The 21,358-nt window shown below is 45.2% G+C and overlaps 1 protein-coding gene and 1 long non-coding RNA gene across 9 annotated transcripts in view, besides 1 other annotated feature; one reads left to right on the top strand and one right to left on the bottom strand.

Moving 5' to 3' along the window:
- The window catches only part of CEDORA (CDH13 antisense oligodendrocyte and neuron associated lncRNA), a 52,560-nt gene extending 36,639 nt beyond the window's left edge, over positions 1–15,921 (top strand). For 2 of the 4 annotated variants that reach the window (NR_188500.1, NR_199710.1), the window contains one exon: positions 393–1,285. This is a non-coding gene — a long non-coding RNA (CDH13 antisense oligodendrocyte and neuron associated lncRNA). Of the gene's footprint in view, positions 1–392; positions 1,286–7,311; positions 7,444–10,722; positions 10,837–14,478 lie in introns of those variants that run through there. The other 2 variants (NR_188498.1, NR_188499.1) reach the window with 2 other exon arrangements.
- The window catches only part of CDH13 (cadherin 13), a 1,173,672-nt gene that overhangs the window by 64,330 nt on the left and 1,087,984 nt on the right, over positions 1–21,358 (bottom strand). The gene's annotated exons all lie outside the window — the stretch shown is intronic.
- Positions 7,873–8,373: an enhancer, noted in NCBI's record as "NANOG-H3K4me1 hESC enhancer chr16:83761543-83762043 (GRCh37/hg19 assembly coordinates)". NCBI's record gives its function as "activates a minimal SCP1, AML or CMV promoter by ChIP-STARR-seq in naive H9 embryonic stem cells {active_cell/tissue: H9 hESC(naive)}" and the evidence as "EXISTENCE:reporter gene assay evidence [ECO:0000049][PMID:30033119]".

Here is a 21,358-nt window from a genome sequence, read left to right as displayed (position 1 = left end):
TATCCGATTTCTGAAATCCAGAAATACACTTATCAATCCTAGGTGAAAACAGGGATTGAACACTCTTAGTATGGGTAAAAGCATTACACAGATGCTTTAAGGTGCAACCACAAGATAGCTTTCATGATTAATTTTCATTATCATTATTAATGACTGATCAAGTCTGATCCTATAGGTAATCTAGGTCTAAGGTTAAATTTGCTACATCCATGTATCCAGATTGGGTGGCTTTTTCTAAGCAGCAGAAATGGCGCTTGGAAAAGAACAGGACGACTTGGAGTTTGGTACCAGTTGGTAGCAACGTAAGCTTTACTTGGTGTGAGGCTCTTCATCCATTTGTTCACACTCTTTTCATTCAGTGTGTTTTATCCCTTTTTTCCCTGCATTCCTAGGCCTGAATATATACAAATATGAACAAGACCCACAAGGACTGCTCATCACCCCAGTATTCCATTTACAACATCCTGAATGAACTCCCGACCAGGCCTATAATTCTCTCTTGCAGCCAAATATCCTGCTTACTCCTGGTATCTACCTGGTCAGCAGACCTCATGAGTTATCGCCCAGTGACAAAACCATCCCAAAGATGCACCAGTCCAGCACAAAGTATGACTGTCAATCTCACAAAAGATGTAGGGTTCTACGAGGATACTCAGAGTATAAGAATTACGCTAAGTGAAATAAGCCAAGCCCAGAAAGACACATACTTTATTATTTCATGTATCTGTGGAATCTAAAAGAGTCAAATTCATGGCAGCAGGGAGAGGGCTGAAGAAGGGGGAGATGTTGATCAAAGTTTCTATGTATACAAAGACCAAACCATCACATTATGCCTCATAAATATATACAATTATTATTTGCTAATTACAAGTAAAGCAATACAAGAAGAAAAAAAGGAATCATAAGTAAATCCATGACAAGTGAAAACGCAATGGAGAGAAGGGAATCAATGATTGAAGAAGAGAAAGGACAGTGGATTTACAACTGCTTCGAAAGAGTGATTTGACTGGCAAAGGACTGGGGAGAGGTCCTTTGGGAAATGGACAAAGCCCTCGAATGGTTAGGAAAGACAATCTCTTTATAAATGCAGGGCATAAGCTGAGCACAAGGTGAAGTTTGGCATGTACTGCCGTGGGATGTTGTAAAAATTATGTCAAAAGCAAAGCAATTCTTGGTTCATCTGTGTTCACTGTGAGACTAGCCTATTATTGGGGTTAAACTTATAAACAAACTTCTATTCATCATTTTTTTCTCCAAAATAAAGTGATCAAATTGTCCCACAGAACTGACGCTTATGTTTTTTTTTTTTTGAATAACCACAGAAATTGTTCCTTCCAGACTTTAAAACTTGAGAAAGTTACAATTGTCTTATCTGAGTTCCTTTCTCAAGAAGCCAACCATCAGGTCTCCCAGATAAAATCAAGGAGCTGAAACTTACCAGACCACTGCCTCTGGATAATGAGGAGCCAGACCCCTCATCCATCAGGATTGCCTAAAGGACCACCTGCTTCCTACTGACCAACTTCTCTTCCTTGCCCCGCTTTAATCCCTGTTTTTATTATTATTATTATTATTATTATTATACTTTAAGTTTTAAGGTACATGTGCACAATGTGCAGGTTAGTTACATATGTATACATGTGCCATGCTGGTGTGCTGCACCCATTAACTCGTCATTTAGCATTAGGTATATCTCCTAATGCTATCCCTCCCCCCTTCCCCCACCCCACAACAGTCCCCAGAGTGTGATGTTCCCCTTCCTGTGTCCATGTGTTCTCATTGTTCAATTCCCATCTATGAGTGAGAACATGCGGTGTTTGGTTTTTTGTCCTTGCGATAGTTTACTGAGAATGATGATTTCCAATTTCATCCATGTTTTCCCAAACACGGTTACATTTCCTCTCTGGTGCATCAACCCCTCATTTCAGAGATGGATTTGAGACTGACCTCCCATTTCCTTGGCTGCAGCAGCACCCGATTAAAGCCTTCTTCCCTGGCTTTTGTCTTGTCTCAGTGATTGGCTTTCTGTGCAGTGAACAGCAGGACCCAGACCAAACCCCTGGTGCTTCGGTAACAATTACATCTTAACCAAATACATATATTTTTTCAGTTTTGAGTCACACTTTGGTCTTCACTTTAAATTGATTCATGGTAAGTTGCTTTTTTGTGCTTCCAGTCTTCTTTTGGTAAGGGCTGTTGGTGGTCCCTGTTTTTTGGTTCATGATTTGGAGTACATGGATGGTCACAGGAGGGGAGGTAAGGCTTTGGGGTTTAATCTGGTGACTAAACACTAATAACACTTTATTACAAGAGCAAAAAGCAGAATAAAATAGTCTGGTGCTCTGCTTCAGAGTTTCTGATAAGGCCCTCAGCAGCATGGAACCTGGGGCAGGGGGCTCTCTGCCTAAGTCTCAGGCTGCGCTGCTTGCAGGTCACGTTCCACTTTTGTCCACTTACGCCAAGGCATGGTGGTGTCTGGACAGGTGATCAGTTTCCCAGGGTGGTTTATCTCAAAGAAACACGCTCACTGGGAGAGCAAACTGGGATGTCAGAAGACCAGAATGGGAAAGTTAATCACCCCTCTGTATTTGTTCTCAGAGTTTATTTTTATTGGGTGATTAACCGACACACCATGGCCTTTGCTCTGGCACCTGGGTCTCTGAGTCCAGCTCAGACCAAGCTGAGCATGGATATTGCCACTTTCAAGAAGTCAATAAATGAAGCCAGCTGCAGCGGGGACCACAGTGAGATAGATGGCTGAGCCTCGCATTATGACTTGAAGCTCAGTGAATGTGGTCTGGCCGGCTGCCAAGCAAGGAGGTACTTAGAGGCAGCTGTGCTTAGCTTAGGTGATGACGGGACCTCCCTCTCCAGTGGCATCCTAATAGACAACCGTCTATAGAGACTGCATTCGTGATGGAGGCCAGGTTACCGGGAGGGCTGCAGGGTCCCTGGGAGACAGAAGCATCTGGGTTTCACAAGGAGAGAGCTCACCCAGGAGCACGAGTCCAGTGTGCGCTCACGGATCATCATCCGGAGGCACCATCACCAAAACAGGTGATGCTGCTGGCTGTTCTGTGAAGGAGCTGGAGGGTTATTTCCATCACTGAGTGCTCAGAATCACACATTCCCAGCCCTGTGTACTGATTTCCAGTGTTCATTCCATACATACGCTTTGACCACCTTCTATCTTCCCAGTATTCTGTTAGGGACTGGGGAGTTTGCAGTGATCAAGGTGGGGAGCTTCCTGCCCTTGGGATGCGTATCTTCACCAAGGCATTTACTATCTGATGTTGTAATTTTCACACAAGGTAGCGAGCTCCCAGGGATACACTTTGTCTTTCCCTCTTCATGTAGGCAGTGAGTGGCCTCATGTCTGGCCATACAGGCCTTGGTTAAAGATGGGTGAGTGAATGGGCAGAAAAGTCAATGTGTCAGAAGCAAGTGGAAGAGCAGCCTGGAATTCCAAGGAGTTGATATCCCCAGGGATTTCAAGGCTCTGTGATGACAAGTGCAGCTGAATCCCTGCAGGAAGCAGTTGGGTTTGGTGCCCCTGGTGAGGTCAGGGGTGTCAAGTACTGAGATTAGCAAGGGGGATGAGATGTATCCTGGGCCTGCAAGCCTCCCTCTGTATGAGGATGCCAGCTGTTTCTACGTGTGGGAACATCAGTTGCCAGGAAGAATGTGGCTCAGCTCTGCTATCATCTTTCTGGATGTAGGAGGTTCTACATTAGCACTAGTGTAGAAACAGAACCCTACTACAGTTTCCGGGTCCTCTATTCTGTTGCTCACAGAACAGGAGAGTGAGATTTAAAAAATGTACGTCATGTCCCTTTCAGGCTTCAAAACCTTTGTGGCTTTGGGGACTGATCACTGCTCACCTCCCACCATCAACTCACCCTGTTCCCCAGTCCAAAGCTAGCCAGGCTCTCCCATCGTCCCAGCCTTTGCATTAGCTGTTGGTTTCTCCCCCTCACCTCTCCCCTTGGCTGGTTCATTATCACTCTTCAGATCACACATCATCTCCCTCCTAACCAGCCCATCTAAGGTGGCCTTCTCCAGTTACTCTCCATCCCATTAAGCTGTTGACTCTCCCATGGGAAAGAGCTGTAAGCTGTAATCACACCGGTTGTGTGATCAGACATTCATTGGCTTGTTCATTGCCGGTCTTCCCACTAGAATGGAAACTCCACACTGTCTTGTTCACTGCTATCCTCAGGGCTAGTTAGGACCCGGCTCACAGTGTGAATTTTTCAATATTTTTTGAATAAATAAATAAACCAGGATGATTACCTTTAGGTTGGATGTATGAAGAATAGCTAGCCTGTCCAAAACATTTACTTTCAGCCTTGTTATTTAATCTGAAAAGCAATATTCACAACTGGCATTTATCGACTACCTGCTACCTGTCATGCAGCATTTAAATCTTCCACAAACCTTTGAGCTAGTTTATACACGAGAATTTTGCTCATTTTACATTTTCCTGTCTGAAGTCTAGAAAAAGAAAATGGATACTTTCTGAATAAATCAACCTCTTCTAAACTGACTTGCCAGAAGACGAGAAAAGAATCCAGCTGGAAAAAACCTAGGAAATAGCATTCTGCACATTGACCTTGGCAAAGAATTTATGACAAAGTCCCCAAAAGCAATTGCACCAAAAACAAAAATTGGCAAAGAAACTATCAACAGAATAAACAGACAACCTATAGAATGGAAAGAAATATTCACAAATTATGCTTCCAACAAAGGTCTAATATCCAGAATCTATAAGTAACTTTAACAACTCAACAAGCAAACAACTACCCCATTACAAAATGGTCAAAGACATGAACAGACACTTTGCAAAAGAACACATACGTGCGGTCAACAAACATATGAAGAAATGCTCCACGTCACTAATCCTCAGAGAAATGCAAATCAAAACCACAATGAGATACCATCTCACACCAGTCAGAATAGCTATTATTAAAAAGTCAAAAAATGACAGATGCTGCCCAGGTTACAGAGAAAAGGGAACTCTTATACACTGTTGGTGCGAATGTAAATCAGTTCAGCCCCTGTCCAAAGCAGTTTGGAGATTTCTCAAAGAACTTAGAACAGAACTACCATTTGACTCAGCAATCCTACTACTGGGTGTTTATCCAAAAGAAGATAAATTGTTTTGCCAAAAAGACACATGCACTTGTATGTTTATCACAGCACAATGCACAATGGCAAGCACAAGGAACCAATCCAGGTGCTCATCAATGGTGGAATGGATAAAGAAAATGCAGTGCGTGTATACCATGGAATACTATGCAGCTGTGAAAAAGGATGAAATTGTGTTCTTTGCAGCAACATGGATGCAGCTGGAGGCCATTAACCTAAGCGAATTAGCACAGGGACAGAAAACCAAATACTGCATGTTCTCAGTTCTAAGTGGGAGCTAAACATTGAGTACACACAGACACAAAGATGGGAGCAATAGACATTGGGGACTACTAGAAGGGGGAGCATGGAAGGGGTGTAAGGGTTGAAAACTATCGGGTACTATGCACACTGTCTGGGTGATGGGATCACTCATACCCCAAACTTCAGCAACACGCAATAGACCCAGGTAATAAACCTGCCCATGGACCCCCTGAATCTAAAAGCTCAAAAAAACCACAAACCAAAAAACGAAAACAAAACAAAAACAAACAAACAAAAAACCCAGGTGATCCTTTGTACCCAGTTCAATTGTATGAATTTTTTAAAAGAATACCACCGTATATTTTAGTGTGTTGAACTTTTCATCGAATTGTGATTTTAAAAAGTCACAGTTTAGCCCAGAAGGAGGTATCTCCAAGTTTGTCAGTTCCTAAAACAACATTCTAGAGGGAAACAAATGAAAATCTCTTGGAACTGTACATATTCTTTGACCCAGAAATTCTTCCTCTAATTATTTAGCTTAAAGAAATAGCTATAGGGAGCACATTCCAAAACTGGGGAATGCCAGGTTAATAACATCAAATGAGGTCCCCCTTTGCGCAAGAATTCTCAGAGCCTTTAATACTCAGATTTGCATTGTGAAGATCTGAGAGAGGGCCTTAGAATAATGCATAGCTCAGACTTATTTGGCTGAAATATTTAGCGACAATTATATTTTCTCCTTCAATGTTTACTATAGAAAAATAAAAAATCAATCAGGGAACTGTTGATCAAAAGTGATAATGGAATGCTACGTAGACATTAAAAGCCATGATGAACACAGCATGACAAGATGACAACACATACGAAGTAAATCTTTATAGTAGGTAGGTATGTGTATAGCACCGTGAGGGTCCACATGCAAACATGTGGCAGGCTCGCTGCCCCCTTCTCACAAGCACGGTAATGACTTGGCAATGGCCAGGTCAGCTTCAAAACCCCTCTTTGTATGAAGCCCTGTGTGCCAAACCCTTCTTTTTCACAGGGCTTGACATACAATCCCAAACAGATTTGCTGCTGCTGGCTGAGAAAATACCTTGGAAGGGAATGCTAGTGGCAGTTGCGGTAATAATTATGATCATGATGATGATAATAATAGAGTCACAGATAATATTTATTGAGCACTTGCTTTGTGCCAGGGAATTTCCAAGCACTTTACATGGGTCAGCTTATTTAAGTCTAACAATAACTTCATGTGGGTGGGATTACTGACCCATTATATAGATGAAGAAACAGAGGTGGTGAGGGACTAAGTAGCTGGGTCCAGGACACACAGCTAGTAAGTGATAGAGTTGTCCAACCATAGCGCCCATGCTCTTAACAGTGATGCCTCGCTGTCTGACCTGGGTCTTAGGAGTAGTGGTATCTGGCTAGTGGGATTTACATCTTTCTTAGTTTTGCCTATCTCAGTTGCTAAAATTTTTACCATGAGCCTATATTTGTTTTGCAAATAAAATTTTTTTGGCAATAAAAAGACTAGTAATACAAAGATGATTTCCTTTATATCTCTACATTTCCATTTTCTCTTCTTTGTGAAACCTTATTACTATAGATGGTATATTTACTATATATACATACACATATGTATAATATGCATGTCTTATCTATGATATGTAACAGTATATGATGTATATGCACATAAATAATATATCCATTTTATACTTGTGAACTGAACATTTGTTGCTGTTCCCCCCAAATTCGGATGTTGATAGAACTCTAACCCCCATTGTGGCAGTACTTGGAGGTGGGCCTCTCCTTAGGAAGTTAAGGTTACATGAGGTCATGAGGATGGAGCTCTGATCTGATAGGATGAGGATCCTTATAAAAGGAGACCCTGTATGCTCCCTAATCCCCACCCTCCAGGTACATGCCCCAAGGAAATGAGGCTACATGAGGACACAGCAAGAAGGTGGCTGTCTGCAAGCCAGAAAGAGAGCCCTCCCCAGAGACTGAACCAGCTAGAACCATGATCTTGGACTTCCAGCCTCCAGAACTGTGAGTAATACATGTCTGTATTCAAGCTGCCCAGTCTGTGGTATTTGGTTATGGCAGCCTGAGCTAAGACAATACTATCTAAATATTAGGTTGAACCACACAGTTGCCATTTCTCTCGTCAAAACCCGTCACATCAGCAATTTCACATGGCCCAACCTAATATATAAACATATATACAATAAAAACGGCATGTCGTAATTGTGTGCTTTCCTTCCTGCTGGGCACAGTGCTTTGAAGGCCGAGAGACACGCTTATTTATCTTTGCTTTCTCTTCTCTCCAGGCTTCCATTGGCACTTGGTAAACACTGGTGACTGAGTGGGTAAATTACAAAGATGAGCATTTTGAATTCCTCTTCCAACAGAAGCTTTAATGTAGTTCTTATCAAGCCTAATTCACTCACTAAAAAGAATTGCATTGCACATATTGGCAGGAGCTATTGAACTGTTGTTTGTCAAGACCTTTTCTCCTCGTTTCATAGGGACTCAAACTAAATGTATCTTCACAACACACACACACACACACACGCACACACATACACATACACACATAGCCAGTGCCATTCAACTGTTAGCGAATCACACCGCTTACGGCTCACAGGCTTGTGGGGTCAGCCCGTGAGAACAGGCACCTTCTCTCCAGGGCCCAGTGTGCACATCAAAGACTTAAACCCTGTGGTCGAGGATAGACTCTGAGACAGAGACGTGGTGTGTGGCTCTGAAGCCTGCCCGCGGTGCTGTTCCCCCTTTCCAGGCAGCGTGCTCACTGCTGTCCACATCTGAGTATGTGTTGCCGCATAACAGACTCCTCAGAGGAGCTGTGGCTCTTTGTACAGTCACAGTTTTCAAAAGCTTTTGCCTCACAAAAGAAAAAGCAAAGCGCCTTCCCTCAGGCAGTTTTCAATTCTTCCCTCCAAATCCATCAGTCAAACTTGATACTTAAACCCTTGAATCCCAAAAGCTCCTTTGAGAAGCGAGCCCATTAGCAGCGGGCGGGAATGGCTGCCCTCCCCGCCAACGCCCCTGTTCACTCCCTGGGCTGCCCTGCTGTGACTGGTGAGCAAAGTTGTCAGCCAGTTCCGTCAAGGGATCTGTCATTCCCAAACCTGTTTGGTCCTTAGTCCTCCTGTCCTGAACACACAGGCCTTTCCTGGAGAGCTAGCAAGCCTAAGACTTTTTTGGCCTTTGAATGCAATTTTATTTTTTAGGGCTTCTAATGTTGATGTACTAACATTCTCGGCTTATAAAATCTCCAATGTTGATATTTCATTTAGTAAAACTGATATTTTTCTTTCTCAATGCGGGAAGGTTGGAAGGTTCTCCTTTGAGAACCCACTGCCGCAGTGGTGATCTCTGGAACAGGTGGATAGGTGTGCACTAAATAAAGCAAGCAGAAGAAGATGTGCTGGGAGAATCTCGGTGATGGGGCAAAGGGTGCTTGCTATAAAATTCTTCCAACGTTTCCACATGTTTGAAAACTGTTCTAAAGTTGAGAAAATACAATAAAATGATGAATGTGTCTGTTCTCTAAACACTCAGCAGCGTCCCTTCCCACGTAGATGTCTTTCTGCTACAAAACCATTAAGGATATCACATGTTAGCTGATTTCATTCCGATGAAATGTCCGTACTAGGCAAACCCACAGAGACAGGAAGCTGGTTAGTGGTCACTAGAGCAGTGGGGAGAAGGAAGCACGTTAACGGTTAAGGGGGATGGGGCTTCTCTTTAGGGTGCTGAAAATGTTCTAAAATCGAGGGCGGTGATGGTTGCACAACTCTGTGACTACACTAAAAACCATTGAATTGTATATTTTAAATGGGTGAATTGTACGGTATGTGAATTATATCTCATAAATCAATACAGCTGTTATACATGGGAAAGATAACTTCAAGGAAGGGAGGTATCCATGATTTCCAGGGCTGCTAAAACAGAACAAAACAAGGCACAAACCAAACACTCCTCCCTCGATAGTCTTCAGAATACTCTTGACTGACAGAACGCCAAAAAAGGACGGTGATTTTTTTTTTTTTTTGAGACAGAGTCTTGCTCTGTCGCCCCAGGCTGGAGCGCAGTGGCGCCATCTCCGCTCACTACAAGCTCCGCCTCCCGGGTTCACGCCATTCCCCTGCCTCAGCCTCGCGAGTAGCTGGGACTACAGGGGCCCGCCTCCACGCTCGGCTAATTTTTTTTTGTATTTTTAGTAGAGACGGGGTTTCACCGTGTTAGCCAGGATGGTCTTGATCTCCTCACCTCGTGATCTGCCCGCCTCGGCCTCCCAAAGGGCCGGGATTACAGGCGTGAGCCACCGTGCCCAGCCAACAGTGATGTTTTGATTTTTCTTCCATTTTTTGCCCGTTTAGCAAATACTCAACAAACAAAAGACGTGCAGAGTCTCCCCTGCAGGGCCTGCCTTCTTAGTGGCAATGGCTGCAGCAGAAGGGGCCAAGATAACGATTTGTCTGGAGAATGAACAAATAAATAAATAAATGAATGAATGAATGGACCCTATCTAGGGTCCTTGTTTCTCCAAAACCCGAACAGACACCCCGGTCTTGTCACAAACTTGGCCTGTGACCTGCAGCACATGACTGTCACTCTTGGGCCTCAGTTTCCCCATCTAAAAAACAGAGGTCATGTGAAATGATGGTCTCTAAGGTGCCTTCTAACTGATACATTATGACAATCTTTCCAAAAGCAATTGTTATTCAATGGCTGAGCAAAAAAGTTATAAAATTATCCCTTGTGGGAAGATTCAGACCAAGGTCCAGTTTTCTCTACATGAAAATGCAACACTTTACAATGTTGTGTAAGTGCAGAAAGTGAAAAGACAATCATTAAAAAGCTGAGAAAAATAAAGTCAGGAAAGAATGCTACATAAATCGCTCAGTCTGACTTCAAAGGGAAATTTTTTTCCAAAGTAAGATCATGAGAATTGATTTATGTCCTCAGAGCCAATGCAAATGCAGGATTTGTACAATATCCATTTATCAGTTCCAAAGGAGCTGATTTACGGCCCACCTCTTCTAGTTTGTATTCTGTCCAGCTCAGAAAGTTAACTGACAACACAGAAAGAAATATCCTCTGTCTCATTGCAGATGACGGGTTATAAATGAGCACAACTTGATTCTCTGTTCTGGAAAATTAGTGTTTTGAAACTCTCATTAGAAATTAGTCATTAAAGCTGTTCCCAAACTTGCCTGCTTGGCCCATCACTTTGTTGCTGTTTTTGGTTGTTTAACGTTCTGACAATGTCAGCCAGAGAAACGACTGCCTTTGTCTTAGGTTATTCTAGGTCGACTTCCGTGTCTGGATGTAACCAAATCACCAGCCAGACCGTGACCAGGACACATCATACCGCTTGCCCCCGGCAGAGATCCTGTGCCCACATGTGATAAGGTGGGTGATGCAGACCTGGTGCTCAGTATGTCAGTCACAAACTGTGTAGGCCTGGAGGAGGTGGAGACAGAGGTACCACTTGACCCTCCTTCCCAGATTAGTGGAGAAGACGGAACTCATGTTTCCCAGACTGACGCCTAAGGATAGATTAGATCCACAGGATACACAAGACCCGTTGCAGTCCTGCCTGTGTGTTGAGTGAACGGATCTAGCTCTCTTGGCCACCATGCCTTTGTTTATCCCATTTCCTCTGCCTGAACATCCTTGCCCTGGTCTACCTGCAAGTCTGAGCCCAGCTGTCCCTTCCTTCCTTGACTTTGACTGATGTGCCTTTCTCTCTGCTGCTGTTATATTGTAGTGTTTTCACCTCAAATGTCACTTTCATCATAGCTTTTATACTAAAAGGGTCTGTTTATTCATCTCTTTCTTTCTCTAGACTGAGTGAAACTGGATGACAGAGGCCATATGTGTCGTGGTGACTGTATATCCCCACTATCTGTGAATCAGGGCTTAATTTGCATTGATTGGCCTAATGAGGACACCAATAAGGGAGTCCCAGGGGTAGGATGATCCTGCAGCTGGAAGAAAGGCTGGGAAGCCATATAGAGTTGTACCCAAAGGCCATCTCAAGGGAGCAGCTCCTGGCTGCAGGTTACAATATAGCCCCTGCTCACCCAGCTGGTTGTGTCCCTGCTGACACTTCATCAATCATCTTGCTCCTGACGCTGACACTGCTCAGGCTGGGAAGGGAGGGGAAAGTAAGGATACAGGTGTCTAGGAGAGAGCTTAGGAGATAGGCTCCTTCAGTGAGATGGTAGGAGACAAGCCCCAACATAGTCACAGGGGGCTTCAAGTAAGACGCTTCCTCCAATCTGAGCTGGTTTGAGCTTGTACAACTTCATCCATCCATGTATCCATCCATTCATGCATTCATCATTCATCCATGCATTCATCCACCGACTCATGCATTTATCACTCACCCATGCATTCCACACTCATCCATGCATTCATCATCCACCCATGCATTCATCATCCACCCATGCATTCCTCACTCACCTATGCATTCATCACTCACCCATGCATTCATCACCCACCCATGCATTCATCCCCCACCCATGCATTCATCACTCAGCCATGCATTCCACACTCATCCATTCATTCATCACTCACCCATGCATTCATCACCTACCCATGCATTAATCACCCACCCATGCATTCATCATCCACCCATGCATTCCACATTCATCCATGCATTCATCACCCACCCATGCATTCATCACCCACCCATGCATTTATCACTCACCCATGTATTCATCACCCACCCATGCATTCATCACCCACCCATGCATTCATCACTCACCCATACATTCATCACCCACCCATGCTTTCCACACTCACCCATGCATTCATCACTCACCCACGCATTCACCACTCACCCATGCGTTCATCACCCACCCATGCATTCATCATCCATCCATGCATTCCACATTCATCCATGCATTCATCACCCACCCAGGCATTCATCACTCATCCATGTGTCTATCCATGCATCCATCAATTCATGTATCCATCCATCTATCCATCCATCCATCCATCCATCCATTCTTCCATGGATCTATGCATCTGTCCACCCATCCCCTCATTCTTTCAATATTTATTGTGTAGCTATTATATGTCAGACATTCTTCTTTACTCTGCATATATGAAAGAGAACAAGGCATGAAATTCCTGTTCTCATGGAGCTTCTGTTCTACAAGAGGAAGGGAGATCATAAAAATAGTTAACACACAATACGATAACTTCAGAGAGTGGTATGTGCTCTGAAAGCCGTCCCATTGGGCAACAGTACAGGGAGTGACCAGTGACAGGTGGGCAGAGTTGAGGAGGGCTTCTTTAGCGAAGGTGATCAGGGAAAGCCTTGCAAAGGAGATGATAGTGAGACTGAAGTGAAAAGGAGACAGTCACATGAAGGCCTGGGCAAGGGAGAACATTCCAGGCAGAGGGAGCCACAGTGAGCTGATGTCACTGAGGAGCCTCCAGCTAAGCAGCAGCTTGGAGACAGAGGGCCAAGCAGAGGCGAATCAGACAAAAGCACACTCAAATCTTGGCTCAGCCCTTTAGTATCTGTGGGACATGGAGAGAGGTGCTAACCTTCCAAGCTTTTACTTCTCTATATGTGAAATGGAGACACTAAAACCTCACTCATAGGGTGGGTGAAAAGATGAAGTCGTATACAGAGCATGGTCCTTGGCATGAGGTAGCTTATCAAGCCCAGATACTTCCAAATCCTTCTGCCAAGTGAAAGTCATCGTGCTTCTCACATCAGCATCCTAAGACAGGCAGGAAGATTGATCACCTTGCTTCTGGTAACCAGTTTCAGACTGACATGTCTGCATGATTCCACCTTCATTCCATATTTTAAAAATGCACCATGTACTCCCTTTATTAAGCATGTCACCCAGCTCTAGTTACTGTGAAACTAGAAGGTCACAGCTCAGCTCTGTGCTCAGAAATATGGCACCTGTCAGGTGCATGATTTAGGAACTTGGCCTTCCTCAGTGGGACCTCAGTGTAGTAAAATCAAGTCAACGATTCAATCCATGGCTGCTGATAAAGACTGGGAGAAATATGAAGCTGCTGTCTTAGCAATACACTTTTCATTAGTGAACTTTTTTAGTAAGATGACATTGAAATCCACCCCCCCAGCCTGGTTTCCAAATAGCTCAGCACTGTAACCTGAATAAGACGTGGTGACTCTGCTGGACAAAGACCAAAAGCCTTGCGAGGGTGTGGGACAGACAACAGGATACATCAGTGCAGTTGGCTCAGTTTTGCAAGGTTAGACTTCTCTCATTTGATTTCACTTACCTCTGGCTATTTTCCTTTTCTTTGCCAGAGGAACACTGGCAAATGTTTAACATCTGATTCTCTGGAGGTGGGGAAAGCTTGAATTAATAGTGTTTGTCTAATTCCATGATAGAAGTATTTCCAATGTGGCCAGTTTCGAGTTACTCCCACGATGTCACTGAATGCACAGCTACAAAGAGATGGTAACAACTGGCCCCTGCAAACTGCTATGAATTGGCTCTAGGGCAACACTGCTACACCATCTCCCTACGAATAACAGGGATCCCCTTTGTGGGGTTGGACACTGTACATATGTAGCTGGCACTACATGCATGATATTTCATATAATCTTAACTATCATTGTTTGAGGCTGGGATTACTATTGCCATTTCAGGGATGAGAATAGCAAGGCTCAGAGAGATTGTGTAGCCAGCATCGGTTCACATAATTAGCAGGCAGCGAAGTTGGGATTTGAATACTGTGGGCACCTTTCATGTGGCACACTCCTCCCCACTCTGAGTCCTCCTCTTTCTTCCCTGGGAATGAGTAGCTTGCTTCCTAACAAGCTCCAGGGCTCCAGTGTCCCCTGGATCCTCCCACAGTGCTCTTTTGCACATGGACCCCTCCACTCCCAGTTCAGAATGAAGTCCAGTTTACTTAGCTTGGCTCCAGGGTGCAGCCTGTACTTCCTCATCCAATCTCTCTACTCTAGCAAAATGGGTTTCCCCACGGTCCCTAGATGTGTGTGAGATGGTTGACCTTCTTGCATTATCAGCTTCTCCTTATTCCACTTAGATGCAACGATCTCATTCAAACTCTGTCTTGTCCTGCTAGTCCTGCTAGCCCTGCTAAACCACTTGAGCCCCTGGAGTCTCTTCCTCCCTGGAGCTTCTACAGCATTCCTATCTGGACCATTCGCCAGGTGGTTAACACTGGAAACAAAAACTATGTTGTTTGCTGGTTTGGATTTCTTACAGCTCCCAGGAGACCACAAGCTACTTGGAGGTAGGACCAAGTGGTGTACATAACGACCAGACAGCCACAAAGAGTCCCTTGCTCAGACAGGTGTTCAGCAACTCTTCCCAGAGCAAAACATGCCTGTCTTGCCCACTGCGGAGTAACTGCAAGGCAGCGCACTGCTCCTCTGGGGTCTCAGACCCAATGGCAGCCTTACAAGAATAAACTCAAGCTGTTTTAAAAAATATTTTTAAACAGCAAACCTCTCCTCTCTAAATGACATTTAATTGCTTCAAAGATCAAGAGAAGGCAACTTCTTTGTGGCTGGGCGTGCAAACAACCTGCGTTCTTCAGGGCTCTGGGTATGGGTTACAAGATTCATCGTGACTCAATTCTCCAATCCACTGAGTTTTGGAGGACACAGGCAGTGTGTCACTGCAGATGGACTGCCAACCCCCAATTAAACTGTTCTGGATGGCTACTGGTGGTGACCTTCAGGTGACATTGGTCAAGCCTCAAAGGAGTGTGGCCACCCAACCCTAGCAGAGTTTGAGTGTGCCAGGTGCTCATTACTGAACCCACTTCTCAGTCTACATCAAACAACCATGCTGGCCAGAAATGGTGTGCTGAGTTCTGACGATACAGAAACACCACACTACTGATGATACAGGTGCATACATGAAACCTCCTGGTGGCAGGAAGACTCGTTCCTGAGGGCCTGATGGCTCCCACACCGAGGAATGCTCTGCCAGAGGCCAGTCCATTTCAGGCACAGTTATAACCCACTCCATAAAGGTTGTGCCAGGGAGAAAATTATGACAGGACCTTGCTTGAAAGAAGAGGCAGTCACAAGGCCCCATGGGGCTTACCTTCCAGGATGGACTGGCCCTGGGTTTGGGATTGCATCAATTTCATTTCTGGCTCTCATGAGTCGGATTCCCTCTTTTCTCAGAGTATGGAAGCCAGTGGAGCGTGGCAAAGGTGTCTGGCACCCTGTCTTTGCTGCTTCCTGTGAAAACGAGATGGTCTGCCTGAAATGATACATTGGCTGTTTCATTTCTGGGCTCCCCTTGTGTCTTTTTTTTTTAAAGACAGAGACGGGGTCTCACTATGTTGCCCAGGCTGTCCTCGAACTCCTACGCTCAAGGAATCTTCCTGCCTCAGCCTCCCAAAGAGCAGGATTATGAACGTGAGCCATTACGCCCAACTTCCCCTAATCTCTTGTGCTTGGCATAATGCTGGTATGCAGTAGGTGCTCAATAAATGCTGACTTGGGTGTAATATTGATGAACTCCAAAAAGCTTACTGGAGAGTGTGTGCATGTGTGAGTGCACATGTGTGAATGTGTGTGCATGTGTGTGCATGAGTGCATGTATGAGTACTTGCATGTGGGTGCAGATGTGGGAGTGGTGTGTGAATGTGTGGACATGTATGTGCATGATGTACACATGTGTACATGCACAAGTGTGTGAACGTGTGTGTGTGTGTGTACGTATGTACTGGATCAAGGTCAGGCAGAGCTGGCACTCAGATGACCACCAGCACCCCGGTCCCAAATTCGGCAGCAGCAACCATTTGGTGCCTACCCTGTTCCCTTCTCATTTAGTGCCATCTTCACCAACCCGCCAGGAAGACAAGCTTGATTCCATCTTGAATATGAGGAAAATGGAGGCTCGCTGATGTGCAGTAGCCCTTGCAAGGCCTCACAGTGTGTGCAGGGAGATGTAGATTCCTACAGTGGAGTCTGACCCCACTGTCCCCTATGCTGCAGTGCCTTCTGGGCAGATGCCAGGCATCAGACCAGGGAAATTCTGCCCCACAGTGAGTGGGGCCAACTGACGCTGATGTGAGTGTATTCCATAGTGGCTGTGTGTGATGGAGAGGGAGTGGGATTGGTACTCAGGGGCTTAAGGAATGGCATCTGGTATAATGGTATCTGAGGACATGGCACAGAACATGGTATGCCACAGCCTCCTCACCTTATAATGGAAGTAACCGTGCATACCTCCTAGCGTCACCGTGGGGGTTTAAATTCTTACATGTGAGGTGTGTATAACTGCACGTGGTATGCAGGAAGCGCTCGGTAGCTACGCTCCTAGTACATCCTCATAAGCGAACACTTACTAATCTAGTTGTTGTGCTGGAAAATGTGGCGCTGGAAAAGACCTGGAGCTTGACCATGACACAGACATTCAGGCTACGGATCCTGTGTCCACCGTTTACTGAGAGGGCCGTGGGTGAGTGACGTGGAGTGTGGCGTAACCTCCCCATGTCGCCCTCTCCTAGTGCAGAAATTGGAGACAGTGGGGGATCCCTCACAGGGTTGCTGGGATGACTGAATGAGGTAATAGACTTCACAGATCCCACATAGGGTCTGGTACGCAGTGGTCCCTCAACAGTGGACAGACATTATTAGGATCTGGTCATATTCTGAGAACAAAGCTTGACAAGTTCTGGAATCAAATGTCATTGTCAAATGTGCCTGCTCAATGCAATTCTACTTGGCTACTGGACTCTCTGCAATAATTTGTCTGAAAGAGAGGCAGAAGCCCCCAAGAGATGAATGGGCTGGTTTTAAGGAGAGAATGATTTTAAGAGGCATTGAGGGTGCCCTGGAAGCCATCCCCCTACAGTGCATATCAGGCCAAATGCACCTGTCAGCACCTGCATTCCTTTGCCAGAGAACTTGCACCAGCAGCCAAAGGCCTTTGCTCATCTATGCAGCAGGCTGAATGCGATGAGAATCAGCACCTCTCTCAGGAGCAACCCTCACCCAATGACTGGGGTACTTATACCTCAGCTCCCTTGCTCCCCATGAGACAAGAAGAATACAGGGTGGTCATAGAAGAATAGAAAATTCCAGGCAGTAGTTTCACATGATTAGCAAAAGGAAAATGTTGAAATAGCTGCAGAAGCTAGGGGCTGATAAGACCCTGAAAAAACAAGAGTGTGGGCCAAGCTGGCTAAGACCAACTGGACCCATCGTGGTGGTGGATTTCACTTAGGTTTTCCCTAGGACCTCAATATATGCTCGTTAACATACTATATCACACACCCACCGGCACCTCGATGGTTCCAGGAACACCCATATTTGGTGCAAAAATGGGTGACACCTCAGTTATGAGAAATCTCCACCTTTTTCCAGGAATCTTCATGAACATTCCACTGCTTGGTTAAAGAAATCCATAGAGGTAGCAACCCCAATCCCCCTTGAGAGCGATTCCTTCACTCTTGAAAACGCTCACACTCACCTTTCTTGAGTGTATACTTTTTGCTTTGCAATAAACCATACTTTCACTATTTTCTGACTCATTCTTGAATTTCTTCTCACAGTCAAGAGCCTGGACAATGACTGGGGTCAAGGACTCACTGGCGTTTGGGGACCTCCCCCAGCCTACGATATTACTTGGATGGAATAAGCCCAGGAGTGTGTTCCTCTGGGATTCAGCTCCTGTACGCATAGTGGTGGCTGGATGGACAATGCAGAGTGTGTGGGCTGTGTTCCTCTCCTGTCCCACTTCCTGCTCTCCCGCTGGTATTTTATGGGATTTTCTGCCAACTAAACTATTTTCACCCTAACCCTTGTCTCAGCATCTGCTTCGGGGGCAATCCAAAGTAAGACTGTCCAAAGTAAGACAGTCACAGTCATGTTAATAGAATTCCCACCAGACAGCGGTTGATTGTTCCAGAGGCCAATGCCCAGAGCAGCAGGAAGTGACTTCATCAAGCCAGAGTGGTGAATTAGTTCCAGTTGTTTTTCCTGAGCCTCTCAACAACAGGAGAGGCAAGCAGAGCACAGTAGGAACTGAATGGGGTTTGCGTGAAAGAAAAATCCAGGGAAAGGTGTCCTGCAGAACGTGCACGGTAAGATTTTAAAGAGCTGCCTCTGTCACAGAGAAATAACAAGCTTTGCATGCAGGGGAGCTGGTTAATTGGCCTACTTTTTCTCCAAACTAGCTCTCAAACTCTCACAATAGTCCTGGAGGAAGGAATTATCGTCGCCACTTACAGGTAAGGAAATTGAGGCAGTGAGAGGTGAAAGGAGCTCACAGCGTCCCCGTGATCATTAAATGAAGAAATAGACACCAAGAGTCAGCCCTTGGCTCATAGTAGGTGCCCATTTCATGTCACTACCTGTTTCTTCCTGATGGTGTCGTCCTTCAGCAGGATGGCCTGGGCCTGTTTCTCAGCTGCCCTGAGCCTGTTTCCTGAGACAGAAGAAAGTGGAGACAGGGACTTTCACGTGCGGTGAACCAGGCAGTTCAGACAGATTCAGTTCAGACTGAACCCAATGGGAGAAGATGGAAAATATATACAAAAAGTGGGGAAGAAGTCAGGGGAGATTAGGGGATTATAGTAAAGCAATCACTACAAGTCTTCATTTGCCTCACTTTCTTTTCTTTTTTTTTTGGAGATAGTATCTCGCTCTGTCATCCAGGCTGGAGGGTAGTGGTGCAATCTTGGCTCACTACAACCTCCGTCTCCTGGGTTCAAGCAATTCTCCTGCCTCAGCCTCCCAAGTAGCTGGGACTACAGGTGTGCACCACTACCCCTGGCTAATTTTTGTATTTTTAGTAGAGACGGGGCTTCACCATGTTGGCCAGACATGTTGGCCAGACGGGTCTTGAACTCCTGACCTCAACTAATCCACCTGCTTCGGCCTCCCAAAGTGCTGGGATTACAGGTATGAGCCACCATGTCCAGCCTGAGTCTGGCCTTCTCATTTTTTTAATGGCTGTTACCCCATTTCAAAGAGGGTCTTAAAGAGTTTTACAGGCAATGATGTTGATCTGAAAATTCAGATATTTCCAAAGAGTTTCTGATTTTAGAGAGAATGAAAAGGACTGGAAGACTTTACCTACCCAAGTAAACAATCATTAAAGAGGCCAGGGCGGGTGCGGTGGCTCATGCCTATAATCCCAGCACTTTGGAAGGCTGAGGAGGGCGGATCATGAGGTCAGGGATTTGAGACCAGCCCGGCCAACATAGTGAAACCCCATCTCTACTAAAAATACAAAAATTAACCGGGTGTGGTGGCACGTGCCTGTAGTCCCAGCTACTCTGGAGGCTGAGGCAGGAGGATTGCTTGAGTCCAGGAGGTGGAGGTTGCAGTGAGCTGAGACTGCACCACTGCACTCCAGCCTGGGTGACAGAGCAAGACTGTGACTCAAGACATAAAAAAAGCCAGTAAGAGGTACAGCAGAGTGGGGATTAATGACTGGCAAGGGTTGGCGGGAAGGAGGGATGTACGGGTGGAGCACACGGGATATTTAGAGTTCTGAAACTACTCTGCATGGTATTACAATGGTGGATGCATGCTGTTATACATTTGCCCAAACCCACGGGATTTCCAACACCAAAAGGGAACCCTAATTTGCACTATGGCCTCTGGTGATCATGACGTGTCAAGGTAGGTTCATTAGTTGTAACGAATGTCCCAGTTTGGTGGGGGATATTGATTATGGGGGAGGCTGTGCATGTGTGGGGGCAGGAAGCATGTGAGAACTCCCTGTACCTTCTGCTCAATTTTGCTGTGAACCTGCAACTGCTCTAAAAAACAAAGTCTATTAAAACAAAAAAGTGGGCAAGTCTAAGTTTTCCTAGCTTTATGGAAAACAAAATGAACTCAGCAAAATGGAAGACTGTACCAAGAAGATGACATTAAAGGTAAATTGCATATACTGGGGAAAGATTTTAACAATATCTGATAGAATAGTCATCAAATATGGAGAGAAAATTACTGCAAAAGGGGAGGGTAGTGGACATCTGTTGTTTTTTTCCCCACCCAGGAAGGCATTTCGTCTTCCTTCACTTTGGTAAAAACACCCTAATTGCTATGACTCCACCCTTGTCACACGCTGTTGTCAAGGTTGACCATCCCCGAGCTAGGAAGTGGGCCCTGACCCAAGCCAAGGCATCACAATCTCTCCCAACTCTGACTCCTGGCCTGGGCTGACAGTTGGCACCGAGCATCAGACTGTCCACCAGGGCTCCCCTGAGGGACCCGCCTGCCTGTCAGCGACACACAGCCCTCAAAGACACTGTTTTTGCATTCGTTCTTCAGAGTTAATTTCTATTGCTTGCACTCAACTCTAATGGATAAAAATACCATTTAAGACACAGGATAGTATTGGAAAATGCATTTTACTAACGCTGCTGCTGCTGCCAGGAAGGAGACTTACCAAGACCTGGTACTTACAAGCCCCAGGATCCTGGCTCCCTTACCGCAGCCAGTATAAATACTCGAAAATGCTAAAACAAACAACTGCCTGAGGAAATCCTGGCACCACCTGCCAGGGTAAGGTCAGTGAGGATAAAGTAGATGGATTCTTGCAAGCGAAAAACAGCTGTGAATGAAGCATTATCCAAACCCTGATCAAGTAAATGGGAACGTTAACCTCTGATGGGAAAATAGACTTTGCGTTGGCCATAAGTAACTCTGCACTATGTACGGGAATAGCCCAAGTGATTATTACACAGAGCTTAATATTTATGCCAGCATGAACTCATAGCAATAAAGCTCCATTTCATATCTTTTGTGGAATAAGGTGGGGGTATTTATGAGCAAAGGCATGCATGAACGAATGAAGAAATACTCTAAATGATAGCAATAAAACTCTTACTCTCGAACCTAGCTACTGCTTTATCCAATCCTAGCTGGAAAGTCCTTGCTCAGCAAATAACAAGTACCTGAGCTCGCAAATGATGTAAAGAAACA

The sequence above is a fragment of the Homo sapiens genome, chromosome 16, assembly GCF_000001405.40.
Source record: "Homo sapiens chromosome 16, GRCh38.p14 Primary Assembly".
In the NCBI taxonomy this organism is placed as follows: domain Eukaryota; kingdom Metazoa; phylum Chordata; class Mammalia; order Primates; family Hominidae; genus Homo; species Homo sapiens.
The sequence above is the reverse complement of the archived record's forward strand: the minus strand, read 5'-3'. Positions and strand labels throughout refer to the sequence as shown.